Here is a 22,424-nt window from a genome sequence, read left to right as displayed (position 1 = left end):
AGGTACGTTGATGGGTACTATGAAAAATTTATTAGCTGAGATTAAGACTAATGGGGAGTTTTCAGTGTCCCTGAGTGAGGATGGGAAATGGATCACAGCAGGGTTGGAGGAGATAAAAGGTGAAGCAGAAACAATCTGATTTAGGGGGCAGTCAGATAAGAGACTGTTAAAGTAATTAATTGTCTATTTCAACACACAAACAAGGGCCCTTTAAGTGGAGAAAAGATTTGCCACATGATACGGATCTGCCTTCTCTCTGCCAGATGCTTCAGCCATGAAGCTATTGAAACAGGCATTCTATGTCCCACAGCCCAGTAATTGCCAAGCTTCATCCCTAACTGGCTTTGGCACTGAAGAAAGCAAATGGGATAATTCAAGGCCTTTCCTTTTTTTTTTCCTTCTCCTATTCACTTCTATAAAAGATGGCAGACAACCAGATTATTCTCTTCAAGCACATGCTAGCTGTATACTTGTATGAGTACAGCTGTGATTTCAGTTGCTTTGTCTTCAAACAGAAACAGGATGCTCTGTGTTAGACGTACCTCCCTTAAAAAACTGAGAATAAGAACCCAGTTTTATCCCCTTGACTTTGCATCGCAAGTACAATTTCTTTCTAGCCCATCACCTGGCAGAAAGCCTGAACACTTTGCTTTGGTTTTCTTAAGGATTGTTGGGCTCACTTTGCAAGTCTGATTTTGGATTCTCTTCCCAGATTTGGAAATACATGTCCATGTAAGGAGGCCAGATTGCACAGCCTCTGGGGGCAGACCAGGCGAGCCGTGCTTTGGTTCGTGGGTTTCCCCTTCCGTTAAGAGATATTAACTATGGAAATACATATTTGGACTATTTTAGCAGGAAGGGAGCTTGGAGAGCAACTCTCGTCTGTGGAGAATTTTCAAAGTGTCTATGCGCAAAAGTGTGTGTATATATGTTCATTTTCCTGGGGGATGCATCCAGAGGCTTCATCAGAGTCCAGCTGGAACCTCAAATGGAAGAGAGTCTCTGAGTCCAGTTCCCTTGTTATTTCACAGATGAGGCACTGAAATAATTGGCCCCATGTGTCCCAAGCCCCTCAGAACTCCATGTGAGCCAGGGCGTGAGTCTCTGGCTCTTGTTCCACACATGTTGCCCTTTGACAGGGGCAAATTTCGGCCCACGGGGAGTGTTCTCACCGATGGTCTTAGGGGCGCTTTTGTCCCGAACCTGCCTCTTGGCTTGTTCTCACTGTTCCTTGTCTTGATTTCTGAGTTTGATGGGAAGCTGATGGGAGACAGGAGATGCTTCCCCTTAGTGTTTGTTTCTAGCCATGGGTGTGATCAGTGGCTAGTTTTTGTGATCTCATGTGACTTCTTTCCCTTTAAAAACTCACTGCTAAATTCTTTCTCTTTTCTCCAACATTAGAATATAGGTTTACTGTGGCAGACTTAGCAGCGTTTGTTTATTTCTGTTGTATGTGTATGATTTCAGACTAATTCAAATGCCTTACATGATTAATTTCTTGTTGTTGTTACAGGTACCTCAATAATAATGAGTTGACAGCGGTACCATCCCTGGGCGCTGCTTCATCACATGTCGTCTCTCTCTTTCTGTAAGTGGTGCCGTTTGGGGGACTCTGGGCTGTGTGGTGGGGCCATGGTGTTTGTTGCCTTGCTGATACCTGGTGGCAGGATAACTTGAGTTCATGTGCTCGCTGGTGAAGAAAGACCTTTCTTCATGTGGCCCTCATGATCATGACAAACGCTTTGCTTGCTGTTTTGGGATTTGCAGAATTAAACGCTGGAAGTTTTACCTCATCTTTAATTTGCAAGAAAGTAGGTCTTTTGTCTTTTTTTTTTTTAATGCGCAGAGGTATATGGAACTAGATTTCTTGCTTCTGTGGTTGGTTAAGCTGCAACTTTGAGTAAAACTGGAGTTAAAGGAAGCTGTGTCAGTTATAAGACAGCAAGCTAATCTTTGTGCCAGTGAATTGGGTAATGTGACTCAGTTTACTTTTGTGGCTTTAAGAAAAAGAAAGTGCCCCCAGGCCTCTGGAATCAACGTAAAACTATGTTGTCATGGTCAAGTGTTAGATAAGATGCGATCTATTTGTTCTAGACAGCACACTGGAAATGAAAAAGCAGATGAAGGGCCTTAGCTAAAAAGACATGAAGGCACCCATTGGGAATATTATCATTTGTGCTGTTACAAACCTTTGCTAGAGAACTGAGCACTGATCCTACCCCTATTTCTTCAGCAGTCAGGTGGAGGAGCTTGCTTGTTTTAAACTCACCCAGAAGACTTTCCAGATAAACCAGCCATGAGTCCAACAGTTTTCTCTGCCAGATTTTATTGGCAGCTTCCCCAGCAGAGCACCTCCCTCTTCACACTGAATTTCCTGTTTCCACTCCAGGCTTTCATAGTTTAATTTTATTTTGATTTTGCTGGTTTTATAATTAGTTTGCTCACCTATATGAATCTTTTCTCAATACTGAGGCTCGGCAGGCTGAGCAGAGAAACTTTGCAAGAAGGTGCTATTAATAAGAGTGCTGGCATAGCTTACAGATCTCGGATCTTTGGCTGGCAGCATGCCCTGTGTTCAGGAGGTGCTGTGTCCCTGTGAAACATGGTCTTGGGTTTAACCCTTTTCATGGCATTGTGGGATTGCAGGAGAGCGTGGGGGGTTAGAATTGCACTTCACTCTGTGCCCTGGACAGATGACCTAGTCTCTCTGAACCTCGTTTCCCTCATTTACATAATGCATTTTTGACCCATTTTATACATGAGGAAAGTGAGGCCCGGGGGAGTGGAATGTATATGAAGCTCCCAGCATTCTGTGGGAGTGTTTGACAAATGGTGGTTACTGTCATTGGCTGGTGGCTAGTTGTCACGTAGCTCCTTGGATCTTGGCAGGATCTCACCTTTAAGGCCGCAGGATTTAAGAGTCAGTCTCTGTTTCTGTGAAGTGCTGGAAGGAAGGTTTGTGGCCCTTTGTTCCCTTGATGGGTAAAGGTCTGACTTTATTTTGTACCCACTTGGTTTGTGGGCCCAGCATCTGGAAGGTGTTTAATTTTTGGCTTAATCAATGAGTTCGTCTTATGTGAGGCTGATAGGGATGTGATAACCTGTTGTGTGTCCATAAAGCAAAGCACTTGAAGATGCTAGGAGCTCCTTGCTGCTTAAAGCACAGGTCATGGACCATCAGTATTGAGTTAGCTTCGAGCTTGTTAGAAATGCAGAACCTCAGGCTTAATGCCAACACTACTGGATCAGAAGCTCCATTTAACAAGGGCCCTGGCCGTTTGTCCACGAGTTCAAGTTTGAGAAATGCTGATGTAACTGCTCTTGTTCCTCACATAGTGAGGAAGCTAGGGCCACAGAGAATATCTCTGTGTTGTCAGAGAGGAAACTGAGCCTCCCTGGAGGTCTTATAAGTTGTAAAAGTGAGAGGTGGAACTGAGACCAGACACAAACGCCTTTGCATCACTCCTTTAACCCCATGCACTCGGGGCAGGAGCGTGGCAGGTGACTCTGAACCACACTGTGCCAGAGGCAGGCAGGGCCCCCAGTTTGCCCCACGGGCCTGTGGCACTTAGAATTGCACCTTGCTCTGCTGACTAAAAATACATTTCTGTTCCTTGGCCCAAGTGCCAAGAGAAGTGGGGCTGTTTGGCCTTGTTCCTGCTATTCCATTAGACAGCATTGAAGTATGTAAAGCAGGAGAGAAAAAAAAGAGAGTTACTCCCTGTTTGGATTCAGTTTGGAAAATGCAGGTTAGCACTGGCAGCCAGCTCTTTGGCCTGAAGTTGGGCACCATCTGACTTGGTCAGTGATTTCTCTGAAATGACAGAAACCGAAGGGGCTTTATCTTGGTTTTCTCTGAGGTGCCTGTGTTCCCCATTCTTAGATTGGATGCCTGGATTCAGTGCTGGCAAGTTAGGTTAGCAGCATGACATCTGGGCAGCTGGATTATTGATAATGCTTCATGCCTTTTCTGTATTTCCCAAGTGGACCGTGCAAAGGACAAGGGAGAAAACAACAGAGCAGGCAGTGGATGAGCATCATTTTACAGCCCAAAGAACCACCTTCCTCATCCTAATCAATGAAGGCAGAAGACTTAGCAGCCCCATCCACATGATGATTCCAGTCATCCAGGTTTTGAACAGCAGGTTTTGCTGATGTGTCTCTTACTTTTCGGAACTAGTGAACTGAAGGGTGTCACGTGTTCTGTAAATATTTAGTAGGCACTTTTTGTGTCCCTGCAGTTGTGGCCCAGAGGCTGTCCCAGGGAGAAGCAGAAGCCTCAACACATCGTCTGAAAATGTGGTAGTTAATAGTTAGATGCTTATAGTCCTTAATCCTCAAATTCTTATTCCGTTTTTGTGGGCAGACAGAGGATCAGAAAAAAATAATCAAAATATGCAGAGAGAATAGAGCAAATGTCTGCTGAGGCCATGTGAGTGACAGGAGCCCAGACAACTTTCTTGGGACAAGTTTATAGGTAGATGCATCACAGAAAAGTCAGGGCTAGGTGTGGGTCCTGCTGTCTCTAATGTAGTTGTGACCTGGGATACATACGTTACTTTTTTTCTCAGATGAGGAAGTTGAAGCAGATGGTAGAAGTACCCTCGAAGCTTGTGTATTCTCTTTGTGACCCGAAAGTTGAGAGTAGGGGCAATAATGTCACAAAAGACATAGTTACCCTCTGACCAATAACCACTGTTGTTGCTTTCTGTCTTTTCACAGAAGTAGTGGGTTTGTTAATTTTCAGCTTGGACACCTATAATTATGGACTTTTGCCTCTGGAAGTTGGCCCTTTCTCTCTGTGTTTCATTTTGCTTATGCAGAATTGAGCCGACTTCCAGACACCAGAGCCCTCCCAAGCTGGGTGGCACCATTGGGAGAGCCTCATGGGAAGAGGCATTGCTCTGCACCTGGCTTTTTCTGTCAGGTCTTCAAAAGAGACTTCCATAGTTTTGGGAACTGGAGTCATAGAGCAAAATTTCAGTTGGTTAATACTTTCTGATTAAAGGAATCTAATTCAGTTAACATATTTGTCAAAGAACAGATTTATTTGCATTGTGTTCTGAGGATAATGCCGGAGCCATTTGTCCTTAATAAACAGAAAGCATAGAACTCAAGGAAAGCTCTTAATAAGAATGGGTTCCGGTGAGGGAGCTAATTTCATAAAATAGTGCCGAGAAAAAGAAACAGACTTTTGTTAAATGGGGGCAGAAGCTGCCAGTGGATTTTCACGTTTGAGATTTCTTTCTTTTTTAATTTAAAATCCAGGACACTCAAGTTACGATTCCCACAGCAACAGTAATTTTGTCTGATGCATCAATGACATTTCTGTTGAGGAAAAATCTCTGTTTTTCCGGTGGTGTTGCTGCACTTGTACTGTCGAGAAGATTGGTGACAGTGGAAATCGTTGAATTTTTCAGTCCTGGGAGTAAAAATGTATGTGGTATAGTTGGTCTTAGCTTTTGTCTCCTGTGCATGGACTGTAGCATATTACCCATAGGGTTGGCCTTGTCTACCTAACAACTTCTCCAGCTGGTTTGTTCTAGACTTCATCCCTTTATGGTGCCTTGTCATTTGCTCTCCCACAGCCTGTGTCCTCAACCAGGAGGAAGACCTAGGCAAAACTTAGGGGCACACAATTAATTGTGACTTTGTAATATTGCTATTAAAATTCCTTAGGTTTAGGTTGCATTTGAAAACACATTGAAATGCCTTTTACTTCTAATCTTGAAAAAATGTTTTTGAAAACTATTTTTTTTAATGAGATAAGATAAATGTACCCAGGGACATGGGGAGGCAGTGTGGGGCTGGTCAATGGGTACAAAAAAATAGAATGAAGACCTGCTATTTGATAGCATAACAGGGTGACTATAGCCAATAATAACTTAATTGTACATTTAAAAATAATTAAGAGTGTAATTGGATTGTTTGTAATACAAAGGATAAATGCTTGAGGGCATGGATGCCCCATTCTCCATGATGTGATTTTTATACACTGCATGCCTGTTTCAAAACAGCTCTTGTACACCATAAATATATACACCTACTATGTACTCACAAAAAAATCAGAAAATTTAAAAAAATGAACTTACCATTAACTCACCATTTAAAAGCCACTTGTAGTACGTTCTCAGTGTTGTGCAACCATCACCACTACAGAATGCTAAAACATTTTCATCACCCCCCAACCCACCCCGCCCCCCAAAAAACCCCATACTCCTTCAACAGTCACTTCTCATATCCCTCACCCTAGCCCCTGGTAACCACTTATTTGAAAACTAATTTTTTTTTTTTTGAGGAAAGCATTTTTCTCTCATGTTAACAAATGAACCTGGAAGACTTCATTTATAAATAACTTAATAAAATATCTGAGGTGGCTTTAACTATATTTTGCTGTGACCTCTTAGCTGAAGAGAAGTGATTAAATGAAAGGGATAGGAAGGCCGGGCATGGTGGCTCACACCTGTAATCCCAGCAGTTTGGGAGGCTGAGGCAGGTGGATCACCTGAGGTCAGGAGTTCGAGACCAGCCTGGCCAAAATGGCGAAACTCCATCTCTACTAAAAATACAAAAATCAGCCAGGAGTGGTGGGAGGTGCAGGTAATCCCAGCTACTCAGGAGGCTGCAGCAGGAGAATCACATGAACCTGGGAGGCGGAGGTTGCAGTGAGCTAAGATCGCACCATTGCACTCTAGCCTGGGAGAGAAGAACAAACTCTTTCTCAAAAAAAAAAAAAAAAAAAAGGCGGGTGGGCGGGAGAGGATAGGATACTTAACAGCCCTCTGTTGTAATTTCTGGAGAATAAAACTTGGAAGGAAAGAAACGCGGTGTCCTACCTGTGACCAAGCGGGGAGGTGGTCACCTTCCCCCTTCCCCGGGGGTGAGTGAAGAGTGGACGAAGCCCTGGGTGGGGTTGGAGGGATCTGAGGCAGCAAAGGCCTGAGCCCTCTTCTTGGCTGGATCTGTTGGTGAAGTAAAGTCAATAGGAATACTTAACTCTCTGAGTACCTAGCAAACCCTCTGGAAAAAAAGAGGGGCGAAATCAATCTTCTTTACAGGCTCGTTAATGCAAAGATCAGTTCGCATTAAAGTGTAATTAAAGAGTGAGCCTTAGAGAGAGGCAGCTGTGATCTGCTGCAGCTCAGGGCTGGGGGGAATAATGAGAGTCCCTTAGAAGGCCCAAGCTGGAAGTGACCTGGAGTGCAACGTCGGAAAATTAGGCTCGGCCTCATGATCTGAGCTAAGGTTGTTAATAATCAGGCTTGAAGCACAGGTGAGATTATACTGAGGAACAGGCAGCGGCTGGCATTCCCACTGCATGTGTGTGTGGGGATGGGCAGACTTATTCTCCATCTAAGGAGCTGGGTTGAGACGTCTTGTCCTTCTCTTCACTGCCTGCCTTTAAAACTTTCTCCATGTTGCATCTCCTGAAGAAAGGCATCCTTCACTGGCATAATAAAGAATTGATGTGAAACATTTTTCCATGTGATGTTTATCTTTGGAGGGATGAAATAAGAATTTGTCTTTAAAAGTTGAGTGGTAATCTCAGATGGTGGAGCTCTTTGTGCATTTATTCCTAGCTGGACCTGTGGGCACCATAGGTGTGTGTACAGTCGAGGTGGGCGTAGAGATTCTCCCCAAGACCAAGGGTTGCCCCATCCTTCCTTCGGAGGAATTATCTGCTGGTCCCTCCACCAGTCACCAGATTAAGAGTGGACCTAATCAAGGGTGTTAGAAAATATGAAAACAAGTATATAGGTCCCCATGCTACTTTGGACAGGCTTCCCCCGCGTAGCAACCTGATTTAGCTTTACTATTGAAGGATGGCCAGTCCGTTTGGGTAAAAGTAAACCTTACTTTAAAAAAAAAAAACCTTACTTTTACCATTTGGGTAAAAGTAAACCGTCAGTGTAAAAGTAAACCTTACCTGGGCTACAGGCATTTTATTGCTCTGGCAATAAAATGAATTCTCATTAAGAGTGTGGAGTTAAGAGTGAATGACTCCAGCTACTTTAGGAAGAAAATGTGAGCAAAGCTGTTTTAAAAGGCCCAGGCTGAGTTCAAGTGAATGCCTTTTGTTCCTTGGGTAGTCCGAAGCTGTTTTGGTTCCCAGATGCTAAAGGGGGAAGATACAGGCCTAGTCAAAAAAAACCAGCACAACAGGGAGGAATTATATATATACACATACATATACACACGTATATATATGTGTATATATGTATATATATGTATATAGATAGATACAGATATGTGTGTGTGTATATATATATATATATAATTATCTAAAGTTCTGGTCCTCTTCTGAGTTTTCAAAGATGTGTTCACTTCCTTCCCTGTTTGCACAGATTTTTGTTGATGTGAACTGATTGTTTCTTCTGGATAAAACCTCATGCCCTTTCCCTTGGGAGATGCCAGCCTCTGCTCACTGGTAGACCACCTGTAGGGCTTGCTGAGACACAAGTCACTGGGTCTTACCCTCGTTTCTGGCTTGGTTCAACGGGTCTGGGATGGGACAAGAGAATTTGCTTTGCTCATGAGTTCCCAGGTGATGATGCCACTGCTGCTGGCCAGGTGGCTTTGAGAACCACTCCTGGGGCTCATATGGGGCTGGGGGGAGCCCCAAGGCTCATGTGTCGGTTCTGACCAAGCTGTTTAGGCCTTGGGGGACAGTAAATTTCCACTCCTAATGTCACCAGTGTGGTGGCAGGCATTTGTTTGGGACAGTGGGGCTCTATGGCCCTGGTAATGGCTTCTGAGAAAGGCTCTGGGGCAGTGGGCAGAGTGAGCTCCAGTACCACGGACAGAACAGACCTGGGTGGCTCAGGGTTGGAGGCCCATGACTGTTACATATTTGCTTGTGCTTAATTTGCTGTTTGTTGGTGACCACTCAAGTCTGCCCAGCAGACCTTCACCGGCTGCTGTAGAGGTGGAGAGCGCTTCGTGAGCAGCCCAACGTGGCAGGAGCCCTGTTACTCTCTCAGCCGGTGGGTGCTGGCAGCTCTGCTTACAGGTGAGCATCCCCTCTCCCCCGGCAGGAGTCAGTTTTAGCACACTTACCTTTCTTTTGATTATCAGTCACTCGTATCTGATCAGTCTTTATCCTCAGCTAAGACTTGAATGCCACCTCTTTTTCCAGATGGAAGTTAACAGGCGTGTCTGAAAGGTGGGCATTTTTTCCCCCACCCTACTGGGGTCCCCACCTGCCCCATTGCCCTTTCCTAGCACTGCATTGTTTATGACCAGATTACTCTCCTCCCATTTTCCCAGCCTGGGAACTGTGGTCAGGTCAACAGTGGGCAAAAGAGATGAAAATGTGGAGGAAGTCTCAGCTGGTTCATGGTGGAGACCGTGGGTTCCTCTGCACGGCTGCTGTGAAGTTGGCCAGCACATGCCCCACTCAAGGCCTTTCGTGAGCAAACAGATCGGGTCCTATGGGCCTGGAGTTACTGCCCTCAAGGAACTGGCAGTCTAGCTGCAGAGGAAGATGGGTGAACAGACAGTTGTCATACAGGGGCTGGGGAATGTCTAAGGGGCACCTCACTGCCCGTCACTGATGGGTCACATGACAGAGAAGTTTCCCAGATGAAGTGACATTTTAGCTGAGGCTCCCTGTTCTGCAAACCTCCTTTCTCTTCCCCTACACAGAGGTGTAAGTTACAGGTGTAAGTAACACCCTAAATGTTCAGCCAACACAGTGGGTACTTGGAGGAGCATTCAGAGGAATACCAAAAGGACATGGCTAATTCCATCTTTAGGCCAATTTGTGCACACACACACCCCCTCACTCATCCCCCGCCCCCTCACTCATCCCCCGCCCCTCACTCATCCCCTGCCCCCAACACATACCCTCCCTTCCCTGCCTTTTTTCTTTTTCAACAGGCGGGCTTTTATGAAGAGCCAGCAGGCCGCTGTTGCAGTTCTTAGAACTGCAGCCTCATCAGATGCTGGATACCACCAAGGAGCCTCAAAATAGAAAATTAAACACCCAATTTACAAAGAAAGCAGCTCTCTGTCCCGGAAACTTCCCAGGGATTCCGTAGTGCAGACTGCCACTTGCCCCCAGTCTAAGCAAGCCTTTCGCTGGGAAAAGAGCTGCTGTGGCCTCCGCAGCCAGCCTGCCAAATTACACAGTCATGACTTGTCATTTTCCTTCTCTCTTTTCTTTCCTTTTTTCTCCTTTCTTTGAGAGTGGGGGTGGTGAGCCAGCCAGATGAGAGGTACATCTGCAAGTCATTTGCTGAGAAAGTGAAGGGAACACCAGCTGTGGGGTTGGGGGAGCCGAGGAAGGGGAGATCCCATGGAATAGGAGCTTGGTCACAGAGATCACTGCCTCTTTTGGAAACTCGGTAGCTTTTGTTGAGCGTAGGGCTTTTTTCCTTTCCACCACCCCGCCCGCCTCTTTCTCTCTTTCTTTCCCTTTTCCTGATGACCATGCAAGCTTTAAATATAGCCCAAGATCCACTGGGGACCCGGGTTGCTCCCCAATGTTGGAGAAGCAGTGGATGGTCTCGGAGGGGAAGTGCTGCTTCTTCCAGCAGTGAGTGCTGAAAACCCTCCAGGGCTGCTTGAAATGGAGCCGGGAAGCGGAGCTGCTCTGTCATTGCACAATCTCCCGTGTGAAAGGGGTTGGCTCCAGCCCATATCAACAGTCTCATTCCAACTGGGACCATTTCCTCCTCCTCCTCCTCCTCCTCCTCCCCCTCCTCACTTCCTGCAGGTGGCTTCTGTAATCCAGTTACCACTGGGAAGCCTCATGTGCATATGCACCTAATCTGAAAATGGCTGGCTTGACTTTGACCTGTGTGGTGACCTTGCAGAGAAGGCAGGGCCTATTGTGTCTGCTCACACCTGGGAGCCATTTTCAGCTTTTATAGCCCAAGTGGAAGAAATGTGTTTGTGTTTATGCCGGGCCTTTCCTTCATAAGGCCTGTCATTGTTGGGCCATACATAGGGAATATTGGATTCCCCCTGCTTGTTTAAAGGCAAGAGTTTTTAAAGATAGAATAGTTGACTCAGTATATTGAGTCCCATGAAATCACTGTTTGTGTTTTGTTCAGTAGTGGTCAGACATCAGCAATCTTGTATTGTTCAGCCTTTTGAGAAGAAAAAATAGTGACCGTCAGCATATATGGTACACTGATATTGGCAGGCGTTGCTCTATGGACTTCCCGGGACCTGTCTTACTGTGTCACCTCTGCAGTCCTATGAGACACAGGATCTGTTAAGCACAATTTACAGATGAGGCACCTAAAGCACAGAGACGGCAAGTAACGTGCTCAACGTCACAGAGCAAGGAAGCATCAAAGTTGGATCCTGTTATTTCTCTCCATCTCTGGGGCTTATGCTCACTGTACACTTGGAAGTATGTGGTCTGGGTGCCTAGAAGGGTCTTGTCATTTTAAGTGCTGACATTTCAAACTGTACTAGGTGTGGGAAGCCTTGGTATTGTGGCCCAGAGGCTTCGATGATACTCTGGAGTGTGGAGTCAGAGGCTCCTACCCTGCAAATGCAGCATGCATCTCCCAAAGTGGTGCTGCGTGCCTCTGTAATGCCCTTGCTTTAAAAGCCTCTTTCTGACCCGAGGTGAACTTGCTTTGGGTAGCTCTTGGTATGATTTTCTTTCACTGATGCGAAGTAACAGAAGGTCCTTCCCCCTACTATCTTTCCCTGTCTCTCTCTCTCATGTCAATTCAGAGCTGATTATGCCGGCCATCTGTGAAAGGTACAGTGAGGAAAAACACTCTTGTCGTCAGGTCTCGGCAGAGCCCAAACGTGTTCGATTGTGCCAGTAGATTCTCGGATAGTGGCTATCTGCCCCCGAAGACATCACTTCAAGGCAAATTCCTCTGCAGTTTCCTCACTTCCTGGATGCCTTTCAAACCCAAACAGCTGAAATAAAGGTGCCAGTTTGTGGTTTTTTTTCTTCCCAACTTCATCAACCAGGAGGTGAAATGTGTGCTGTGAAGTGTGCAGCCCCAGAGGTACTCATGGGCTGCCCTCTCAGGGGCCACTGGCTTCTGCCCAACTAGCTGTCCTATTGTAGAGTCTCTTTGGGGGCTCTGATACTTTTTTTCCTCGGGGACAGCTGCTGTGACGTTAGTTTGTAAATAGCAGGGCTCCTTTTCCACGTAGCGGTAGGACAAAGGTAGGTACAAATGGATCTCTTCACCTTACGCTGATTCAGGCATCATGTGGGCTTTATAGAGAGGGGGCATTTTTGCACAGTGGTTAAGAGAAGGCTCTGTATCCATCAGATCTGGGTTTGAGTCCTGCCTGCATCACCTTTGCTATGTCACCTGGGCAGGTTCTCTCAGGCCTCAGTTTTCTCACTCATAAAATGATATTTGCTGATAAGGTGGTGGTTAGGATTAACTAAACAGTATGTGTCCTCAGTATAGTGTCTGGTATATACTGAACGTGCACTGAGTGTTAGACACTCTTGCTATCTCTGACAGCTTTGTACTGAGCACCTTTGGGGTTGTGGGCAAGGCAAGCCTGCTTTTGCTGCTGTGCTCTGAGGGGCATTGCTGCTGTCTACACTGAACCCTGGAGGCCGCCTGGTATTGGAGACTGGAGAGGGGTCTATTTACATCCCATAAAAATGGATCTTACTTGCAGATATCCATCATGGCTCACCCTCCTATAAACCAGTTGAAGCTTACAGAAAACCCTCGTATATGTATCTGTTCATTCCTCTTACGGGAGCTGTTGAGGACAGCAGCAGAGTTTATTTTCTCTCCTCTCTTGTCATCTTCTGTTTCTCTACCTGGGGTAGGTGCAGCAAGCAGCAAAGTGCTAGGCAAATGTTTAAGCGGTGGCTCTCACTCATAGTAGAATGACCTAGGGAGCTTAAAAAAATCTAGATGTCTACGTCTCAGGGCAGTTAAATCAAAACCTCGAGTTAGTGGGCTGGGGAGCAGAGGGGGTGAGTGTTGGGCCCAGGCGTTGTGGTGGTTTTTTAAAAAAGCTCTCCAGGTCATTTCAGTGTGCAGCCAAAAGCTTTAATAAGCCACAGCTGGATAATTGCAACTGAAAGGCATTGTTCCTCCTCTTGTCTCCTCCCCTCTCATAACTATCATTTAAAATACCCAGGCTCCCCCACCTCCCTCCACTCCTTTTTTTCCCCCTCTTTCTTTCTCACCAGGTGGAGGGGAAATAAATATTGAGGCTGGCCTTCATTTTAGTACTTAGGACTCTGGGGATCCCTAGTAGAGGTTTTAGTTTACCTCTTTTCACTGTTGATTTAATTTGAAGATACTGTGCAGTTAGCCACAGCGTGATGAGGAAGTTGCTTTGGTGGTGCGCGGGTGAGGGTGTTTGGTCTGATTAGACCTGCCCACCTTATTTGGAGATCACAGAATTCAACTGTGGATTTGCCCCTTATCTGGGTCATTCTTTCTTCTGATAGCCCACCCAACTGTCATTTGCATTCTACCTATATGTCAGAAATGTCCCACCATGATGGTGGAAAAAACTCTCTTTATAGTAAAACAATAGGCAAAACTGACTTATTCTAAGCTCCTTAAACACCTTTTTCTTTATAACTTCAAAAGTAAGACTTGGCTCTTTTTAAAAAAAAAAAAAAGTAAATAGATGATATAGAAACTGAAGGATCTCACCCAAAAGCTTTATTGTAATATAGCAAAGTTCTGGTGCTAAAATTGAGTTGGATAATTGTATAATGGGATTTTGTGAAGGTTGTGTTTGGAATTGGATGCTAGGTTAAGTTGCAAAGAGTAGAACTTTGGAAATGAGAAAAAAAATTCCCCTTGGACTTTTTAGAATGTGACTTTTCTGCAAATCAAATGTACTTTTTATAAGGGGAAAAACAGTGGTTATCAGCATGCATAGTGAAGTTTTTCTGCCTCGTAATTGTTGGGTTCTTCTCAATCGGAATGAGAGCTGGCGTGTTGAGAAAGCCAGCATGGGCTTCGTGGGCTGGGCCCGGGGAGGCCTTGGCGCAGTTCTTCCAGGGGCTCCCCTTCCCCATGGCCTTGCAGACAGCTGTGATAAACCCTTTCACCACCTGGCTTTCCTCACGGGCTAGGCTGGCCCCTGCTCTGTCTTCCTCTCCTCTAGTGTGTGTTAACGAGAACCCTGATTTGGTGATGCTATAGCAACTATTTGGTTCCAAGTAAGAGCCCAGTGCCTGTCTTCACTTTCCCCCATTCCCTGGAAAAGAGCTGTAGTCCCTGAGAGATTCAATACGTCATCAAAGGAAATGGTGATATGGCAGAGATGTGCATTCCCTGCCTTGGTGGCCTCATGGGTCACCTCTAGGAAGAGAAAGCCAAAAGGCGTGAGTTGTTGGCATAGTGGTGAGGACCAGGTGGCCTCTCACAGCGCCATCCCTTTGTGGGCATTTCAGTAGAGGGCATTGGTCCATTTTTGCTCACCTCCAGTTGGGTGCTGGAATTTCTGCAGTGGTATCTCTGCTGCAGGGGAAGCCCTCTCACCGTCCTCTTGTCGGGACGTAACCCAAGGCTCATTCCAACTCTTGGGAACTGGGAGGAAACATCCCTTCCTGGAGTGTACAGGGCCTTTTCCCCCTTGTTAGCACCAGTAGTGTTCAGAGGAACGAGTGTCAGGGCACTTGGCTTGTGGTCCCTACTCTGACATTATGGATCCATTATAGGACGTTTCACAAAACACTTCTCTTTGTGACTTCTGTTCCCTCACCTGTAAGGAGAGGGGCTGGTTCAGTATCAACCATACTCAACCAGGGTTAAAAACACACATGGCTGCTTCCCTACTGGAGGCCTGGGCTGTATGTTCTTTGGAACAGACTCACATCCCTAGTTGAGAACTGCTGTTGTGGGTGACCCTGTAGTTCTGGGGCCCCAGGTTCCTGGCAGGCTCACATGTTTATGAATTCTGTGGAGAAGGCCGGCTGAGCTGTGTGCTCTATGTTGCAGAGTCTGCGTGGAGTGGGACAGGGGGTAGCACCCTAGCAGGCCCTTCGGGTCCGGTGCCAAATCTGGGCCCTGCATCTCATCTCTACAGGGGTTCCCCAAGGCCTTGGCTCCCAAGCATCCAGATGTGGCTCTGAGGCAGCCCTCATCCCTCCCCACTCCACACCAGCCACCCAATGAAGTACCTTCATCAATATTTGACGAAGACATGAATGAAGGGTCCCTTCGTGGCTTCCCATCCTCTATGGGACAAAGTCCCAGCTCTTTCAGAGTTGGCCCTGGCTCCATTTCTTCCTGTTCTCCCACCTCTAAATTGTGCGTAAGGAAAGCCCACACTGGGTGTGTCTCTGGATCCTGTACCTGCTTCATTTTGCTACCTTGATCTGGAATAGCCGCCCCTCTTCTGACCTCCTCCCCCCATGATGTTGTGTTCCCCTCTGCCACTGCACCTATGACATCCCTCTGTCTCCTCTGGGGCTGGGGTGAGGGGCTGATGGCACAGTAGCCACGTCCGTCTTTCCTTGCAGCAGCTGCATGTAGCAGGCATCCCATCCATGTATGGATGAATGACTCTGAGGGACCAAGTGGAAGGGTCATCTTAAGGATAAGTGATTGTGGGGTATGGGGCAGACACTAGGTTGTTTTAGATACTTATTCAAGGTGGAGAGACAGGCTTGGGCACGTTATAGTAGAAGTGGCCTGCTGAGGGGTGCTGGAGGGCGTGGCTCTCCAGCCAGGGGATAAGTCTTGCTTGCCTGGATTTACTGAAGAGGCAGGCAGGGTGTCAAGGGAGAAAAAGTATTAGTGGAAACTGCCATGTGAGAGGCCGCCTGGCCCAGAGGTGGACAGGGCTTGCCCCCAGGGCTCATTATTGGGGTTTGAGTCCTGGTTCTGCCATGTTCTAGCAGCAGCTTTTCAAGCCTCTGTTTGCTTAGATGAGAAATTGCTCTTACCTTACCACAGATGTGTCAAAAAAGGGCTCTCCCAGTCTCTGCTCGCTTGTTTGAGGGGCCAGCAGGTGGTTTGGGAAAGGCTTTCTGTGAAGCGAAGGTGGAGAGTCACTGCAGATCCCTGCAGGCGTCCAGCCCATGCTGGGAGATGCCACCCGTTCCCCACTGCAGAGACGGAAGGAAAATGAGGGAGGTGCAGCAGGCTGCGTAAAAGATGACATTAAGGAGTGCCTGGATTCTAGAGGTGCCAGTAGATGGCATTGAGGGGGAAAAGAGTGCTCTGTGTTCAGAAAGTTCAGAAAACCCAGAGTTGAAGGTGAGCACCTTTCTTTCCTGCAGAACATTTCAGAGCCTTTAGTGCTTGATGTTCCCTTTGAGTCTCCAAGGACAAGCAGAGATCTTCCTAAGATCATTTCATCATAGCTCTATTATGTTTTCATTTTCTTTCAGAGGTAGGAAGGGAGATTTTGGGAGCATGAGAGGTGCTGACCTAGAGAATGATAAAATCCACTCCTCACGTTCCCCTGGCAGTAGAGAGTGCTGCTTCCCTGTCTCTAAATGCACATCCATGAAGTTTAGACTTCGCTACCACAGGCATATATTCCCCCCTCCTCTTCAGTTCTTCCTGTGCAGGCTTGTCACAGTTTGGCTTCATTTGGAGGCTGGCACCAGACCCCCGGGCTCTGCGTTGTATGTCTTTTGACCTCAAATGAGGGGGAGAGACGTGGTGTTTCCCACAGATAGTGAGTAGTGAGCCACCTGGAATACTTGTTCTGTGGGATGTTAATGGTCGTTTCATGAAAAGGATTTTGTGGTCATGTAAGTTTAGCAAATGCCAAAGCAAGCCGAGTGAAAGGTGTTGTTATCATCTCTCCTAAGCCGCTTTTCTTTGCTGACCTGCTGAGGGAGTCTGCAAGAGGCGGGGGAGGAAATGCCCCTTCCTGAGCTTGCCTGCACCCAGCACCCTTTCCATGGAACACCTCCCAAGGCCAGTATACGAAGGATGATGCTTTGGGAGTGTGGTGTCTGGCAACCTGCGTCTGCCACTTTCTGGGCATGCACGTCTGGCACGTCTTCCTTGGCCAAGTAGTGCTGGAAGAAGACACAGGGCTGGATGACAACCCCTGATGCCAGGCAAGGGCCACGCTAGCTGTCCTCAGCTTTATCAGCAACACCCTTGTCTCTAGGAGTCCCAGCCCTCAGCCCTTTCCTAAATGATGGGAAGTAATTAAACAGTTCATGCATATCCCTACATTTCAGAAATCACACAGAGCCCAGTGGTAGTTGGTGCTTGGCTCTGAGACCTCAGTCATACTGTGTAAGTTTCTGCTGGTTTGAAGGATGGCTGGAGACTAGTAAAGTAGCAGGAAGGCTGATTCCACTGGGAACTCCCCCAGACTTTCCATCTGATTCCACCGTGAATGCCATGACACTTTTGTATTGTTGTTTTAATGATACTTAGGGATAATTGTTGATTCACATGCAGTTGTAAAAAAAAAAAAAGTAATATGGGGAGATCCCTCACGTACCCTTAAACCCAGTTTCTCCCAATGGTGACATCTTGTACAGCTTTTCATAACCAGGATATTGACATCGATGCAGTCAGAATGCAGAATATTTGTATCATTGCAAGGATCTCTCCCCTTTATGGCCACAGTCATTTACTTCTTGCCCTCACACCCTTGGTTGTCTTTTGTTTTCTTTTTGAGACAGAGTCTTGCTCTGCCATCCAGGCTAGAGTGCAGTGGTGTGACCTTGGCTCACTGCAACCTCAGTCTTCCAGGTTTACGTGATTCTTCTGCCTCAGCCTCCCAAATACCTGGGATTACAGGTATGCACCACCACACCTGGCTAATTCTTGTATTTTTGTTTTTTGTTTTTTGTTTTTAGTAGAGATGGGGTTTCACCCTGTTGGGAAGGCTGGTCTCAAACTCCTGACCTCAAGTGATCTGCCTGCCTCGGCCTCCCAAAGTGCTGGGATTACAGGCTTGACCCACCATGCCTAGCCCCCCCTGGTTGACTTCTAATGTGTTCTCCAAATTTGTAGTTTTTTCATTTAGAGTTTTATATAATGGAATAATAAAGTATGGATAACCTTTTGGGATTGGCTTTTTTCACTCAGCGTAATTCCCTGGAGGTTCATCTAGGTTATTGTATGTGTCGTTCCATTCCTTTTTAATCACAGAGTTGTATTCCATAATATGGATGTGCCGTACTTTAACCATTCACCCGATGAAGGACATCTAGAATGTTTCCAGTTTGGGGCTGCTTTTAAAAAATACTGCTATGAACATTTGTGTTTGGGTTTCTTTTGTGTGTGTGAACATAAATTTTCACTTCTCTGGGATAAATGCCCAGGAGTGCAATTGACAGGTCATATGGGAGTTGCATGTTTAGTTTTTTTAAGAAACCGTCAGACTCTTCCAGAATGGCCATACCATTTGACATTTCTACCGGCAGTGTATAGGCAATTCCGTTTCTCCACATTATGGCCAGCATTTGGTGGTGTGTTTTTTTTTTTTTTTTTTTAATTTTTTTGAGACAGAGTCTCGCTCTGTTGCTCAGGCTGGAGTGCAGTGGCATGATTTCTGCTCACTGCAACCTCTGCCTCCTGGGTTCAAGTGATTCTTATGCCTCAGCCTCCCCAGAAGCTGGGATTGCAGGCTTACGCCACCAGGCCTGGCTAATTTTTGTATTTTTAGTAGAGACAGGGTTTCGCCATGTTGGTCAGGCTGGTCTTGAACTCCTGACCTCAAATGATCCACCCGCCTCAGCCTCCCAAAGTACTGGGATTACAGGTGTGAGCTACCGCGCCTGACCGTGGTGTTGTATTTTTTTAATTTCAGCCATTCTGATAGGTGTGCAGTGATAGCTCATTATGGTTTTCATTTTTATTTGCATGATGACCAATGATGTTAAGCATCTTTTCATTTGCTTGTTTGCCACCTGTAGATTCTTTTTGGTAAAATGTCCATTCATGCCTTTTGCCCATTTTCTAATTGGATTTTTTGGTTGTTTTTTGTTGTTGTTTTGCTCTTGAGTTTTGTGAGATGTTTGTATAGTCTGGATATATATTCTGGATACCAGTTCTTTGTTAGATATGTGATTTGTAAATACTTTCTCTCAATCTGTAGCTTGTCTTTTCATCTTAGCAGAGTCTTTCACTGAACAAACATTTTTAATTGTGATAAAGCCTAATAAGTGTTAAGTTTTCCTTTTATGGATTGTGCTTTTAGCGTCAGGTCTAAGAATTTTACCTGTAGATCCCAAAGATTTTCTCTTGTGTTTTCTCTTAAAAGATCTGTAGTTTTATGTTTTGCATGTAAGTTCATGATGACATGTTTTTAAAAGCCTGAAATAGGGAAGAAACTTGAAGCTTGTGGTTCCACAAAAGAAACAGCAAGAATTGCTTCTCATAGGACCCCAGCATGGACAAGGCACGGGTTGAGATGGTTCTGGGGTACAGAGAAGGGGTGCTGCAGACAGTGCCACTTTGGTGTTGTAACAAATCATTTTTGGGGTGGGTGAGGAAGGGCTGCGTTAAAGGGCCAACTCCTCAATCCCACCCATACCCATCCTTAACCCTCCCGGAGCACTGTCAGGTCATATGCTGAAGGCTTGAGAAATTGCGTGGTAAGAGATATTGTAAATCGTATGATTGGGAGATCAAAGTCTTTCAGTTGGGGCAGGAAGCAGGCCTGGTTTTATTTTTAAAGGCACATCAGTGGTATCCCTCCCCAGAGGAGGAGAGGATCTTGTCTTAGAGGCTGCAGCCAAGTGCTGAAACAGCTTCCTCCTTTGCCTGGAACTGCAGAGCTGTCAGGAAGCTGGCATGTGAATCTCAGGGAATGTGCCAGTGGCCAGTAGAGGTGAGGGGCCCATGTGTAACCTCAGAGGGAGCTTTAGCGCTGCAGCACCCACAGTCCCCTCTCTGTCTTCATAGCCGCAGGCTGTCTGGTCTGGCTTACTGTGCCACTGTCACTCCAGAGAGCGGCACAGCCTGGAGTCAGAGGATACCTATGCTTGCATCTTGGTTAGCTGGGTGACTTCATACCAGGGTCTTAACCTCTCTGATTCTGGAGTAGGTGGTGGCTTCTCTGGCGTGGTGGTAAGCAATGAGCGAACAAGTTTCTTTTGTTCCCTGGAGAGTGCTCAGTTCTGTGCCTTTATACTTACTGCCTGAGGAAATAAGAGCCACTCTCACCCACCTGTTTAGGATGGGGACATGGCCGCTGACCACTCCAGTCATCCTAAATATAAATAGAGGTGGTCTGGCTGGGCCCTCTGGCAATGCTGTGTTGACATGCTGTGGGCTGAGGGCCTGGAAGCCTACGTGTGGGTGTGGGCCCCTGGCAGGACTGGGGATGAACAGTGGCTTGCGACAGGACATTCCCCTTCTTGTTCCCTCTGTATCTGCAGAGTCAGGTCCTGCCTCTGCTCCAGTCACATGGTGTGGCCCCAGTGTAGGGTTATCCCTGTCCCTGGTGGATGCCGAGAAGAGGTGGGAGGTATGGGGTGCTATCAAGAGAAGCTGTCTTCCTCAGGTTTCTTCTGCCCGCTTCCCTGGTGAGGCAGTTCCACATCCTGACTAGGAGTGTGGGATATGGATTCCTGTTCCGGGCTCCAGTCCCAACTGCACTGCTTACTGCTGTGTAACCTTCAGCAAGTGAGTTGACCTTTCCGTGCCTTAGCATCCCCATCTGTAAAATGGGGACGGTAATAGTGGCCGCCTCTGGGGTTGTCATGAAGATTAAATGAGGGAAGATGTTAAGAGCGAAGCCAGCGCCTAGCTACTGGTAAGCACTAACAAAATGTTAGATTTGTTCCCACTGTTCCTGCCATTATGGCTACTCCTGCCACCCCTTCTACTGGAAAGAAAATGCAGTGTGACTCCTCCATAGCTAAGCATCAAGGGCAAGCTCCCTGGACATCCATGGCCCTGTGCAGCATTGGAACCACTTCCTGGAGGCCGCAGAAGCACCAGGGCTCCATTCCAGACTCCGGCTACAAAGGCCCTTTGAAGTTTGCACCACCTGGAGCAGGCTTTTGTGCCATGAGAGTGTCGGGGGCAGGGGGTTCAGGAGGAGGTTCTGTGTGGAAAACCCTCCTTTGTGCCTGGTGGACTGGTGGTGGAATGCTCAGGCCACCCTGGGCTGTACCAACCCTACACAGCTCTCCACCACACTTCTTAGTCTGCTCTGCACTTAAGGATTAGGTCCCAAAGTTCATTGTCTACGTTTTCATTAACTGCTTTGTAAATATAAATTTAATGTCACATAATTGACAGGCAGTATGCAAAATGGGGTGGGGATTCCATTATCATCGTACTGTGAGAACAACATCCTGTATTCCCTATCTTTTTTTCTACGTGTATCTTCTAGAGAGGGACAGTCATGTGAATTGGTGGGCTGTGTGCCCTGCTTTTGGTTTAGCATGGTGGCATGGACAGTCTCCAGGTGTGTGAGTGCTGCAGACCGCTTTGCCCAAGGCTGAGATGGAAGGGTGGCTGTGAGAAGGAGGTTCATTCTGCTCCCTTTGGGAATTTGGCGTGAGGTCAGCATGTTTCTCAACAGTGGTTCCATTTTTTCAGGTCCTAGTTGGTGAGGTCAGAGGAACAGAAACCACAATAGCTCATGTCAGAGCTCATTGGTCTTGGACTCCTGGGTGACCCCCTCCCCCAGTTGCTGACCAGTCCCTGTGGAACTTGGGCAGAGGAGGTCCTTGCTGTGTGAAGTGCAGTATCTCCATCATTTCACACCCCTGGGCTCGGGACTTCCCACCTCACCCTAGTTGGCGGAGCCTTCTTTGGAAGAAAACCATGCATGGCAGCCTCCTGATACCCTCCAACGTGGGTAGTGCGGACGCTTCTTGGTTAAAATTTCTGGGGTTAGTCCCTGGCCTTAAGGGACACTCTCATCACCTCATTCTTGATCGTTGCCATCTCACCTTTTCTGCTTTTCTTGTCCAGAAACAGTTGCTCAGCCCCTGGAGTCTGGTTGAATCCATGTCTCTCATTCTGTGTCCTGGTTTTCTTACCTCCTTCCCTCAAGGGGCAGAGCTGAACAGGCAGGGACACATGTGCCCTGACAATTGTAATGAAGTATGTTTAGCCTTCTTCTCAAAGGGAAATCAGAGGGGTTCAGTTCAGCTGTGCCGTACCCGGGATCCACGGTTGTGCCGGGCTTGCTGGCTCCACATGACACAGCTTGATAGCCCGGTGCTCTGCCAACTTTCAGGGTGGGGCCTGTGCTCTACGAGGGCTGAGAGCTTGTGGCGGGGTCTCGGTGTGGTGGAGGGAACACCATCAGTGTGCTGGGGTGTGGGGTAGCAGGTCACCAGGGAAAGGAAAACAAAGGGGGAAGAAAATAGGGATGTATTGATACATTTGGGGGAAAACACAGCCCTGAGAGAGAAGCAAGTGTCTATGTTGGCCCTGAGCAAAAGCGATAAATACGTTTGGCTCTTCTGACCCAGAGGTGGGCATATGTGGCTGGGAATTCTGGTGGAAGTGGCTCATTGTCCATCTCTGGCCCAACTTGAGCCTGGTTTTTCATCTCTTAGC

At 46.9% G+C, this 22,424-nt stretch overlaps 1 protein-coding gene across 6 annotated transcripts in view, besides 3 other annotated features; it reads left to right on the top strand.

Moving 5' to 3' along the window:
- LRIG1 (leucine rich repeats and immunoglobulin like domains 1) overlaps positions 1-22,424 on the top strand; it is a 122,325-nt gene that overhangs the window by 47,975 nt on the left and 51,926 nt on the right. For 4 of the 6 annotated variants that reach the window (NM_001377345.1, XM_011533578.3, NM_015541.3 and 1 more), the window contains exon 3: positions 1,514-1,588. The exons of the other annotated variants lie outside the window; for them this stretch is intronic. Coding sequence is in view for 2 of the 4 variants with exons in the window: in XM_011533578.3 (XP_011531880.1) it covers positions 1,514-1,588 (75 nt within the window). In the remaining 2 variants the exon portion in view is untranslated. The remainder of the gene's footprint in view (positions 1-1,513; positions 1,589-22,424) is intronic. 6 annotated transcript variants of the gene reach the window in all.
- Positions 11,197-11,944: an enhancer, noted in NCBI's record as "H3K27ac-H3K4me1 hESC enhancer chr3:66491627-66492374 (GRCh37/hg19 assembly coordinates)". NCBI's record gives its function as "activates a minimal SCP1, AML or CMV promoter by ChIP-STARR-seq in primed H9 embryonic stem cells {active_cell/tissue: H9 hESC(primed)}" and the evidence as "EXISTENCE:reporter gene assay evidence [ECO:0000049][PMID:30033119]".
- Positions 16,252-16,841: an enhancer, noted in NCBI's record as "H3K27ac-H3K4me1 hESC enhancer chr3:66486730-66487319 (GRCh37/hg19 assembly coordinates)". NCBI's record gives its function as "activates a minimal SCP1, AML or CMV promoter by ChIP-STARR-seq in naive H9 embryonic stem cells {active_cell/tissue: H9 hESC(naive)}" and the evidence as "EXISTENCE:reporter gene assay evidence [ECO:0000049][PMID:30033119]".
- Positions 16,842-17,432: an enhancer, noted in NCBI's record as "H3K27ac-H3K4me1 hESC enhancer chr3:66486139-66486729 (GRCh37/hg19 assembly coordinates)". NCBI's record gives its function as "activates a minimal SCP1, AML or CMV promoter by ChIP-STARR-seq in naive H9 embryonic stem cells {active_cell/tissue: H9 hESC(naive)}" and the evidence as "EXISTENCE:reporter gene assay evidence [ECO:0000049][PMID:30033119]".

The sequence above is a fragment of the Homo sapiens genome, chromosome 3 (assembly GCF_000001405.40).
Source record: "Homo sapiens chromosome 3, GRCh38.p14 Primary Assembly".
In the NCBI taxonomy this organism is placed as follows: Eukaryota; Metazoa; Chordata; class Mammalia; order Primates; family Hominidae; genus Homo; species Homo sapiens.
The sequence above is the reverse complement of the archived record's forward strand: the minus strand, read 5'-3'. Positions and strand labels throughout refer to the sequence as shown.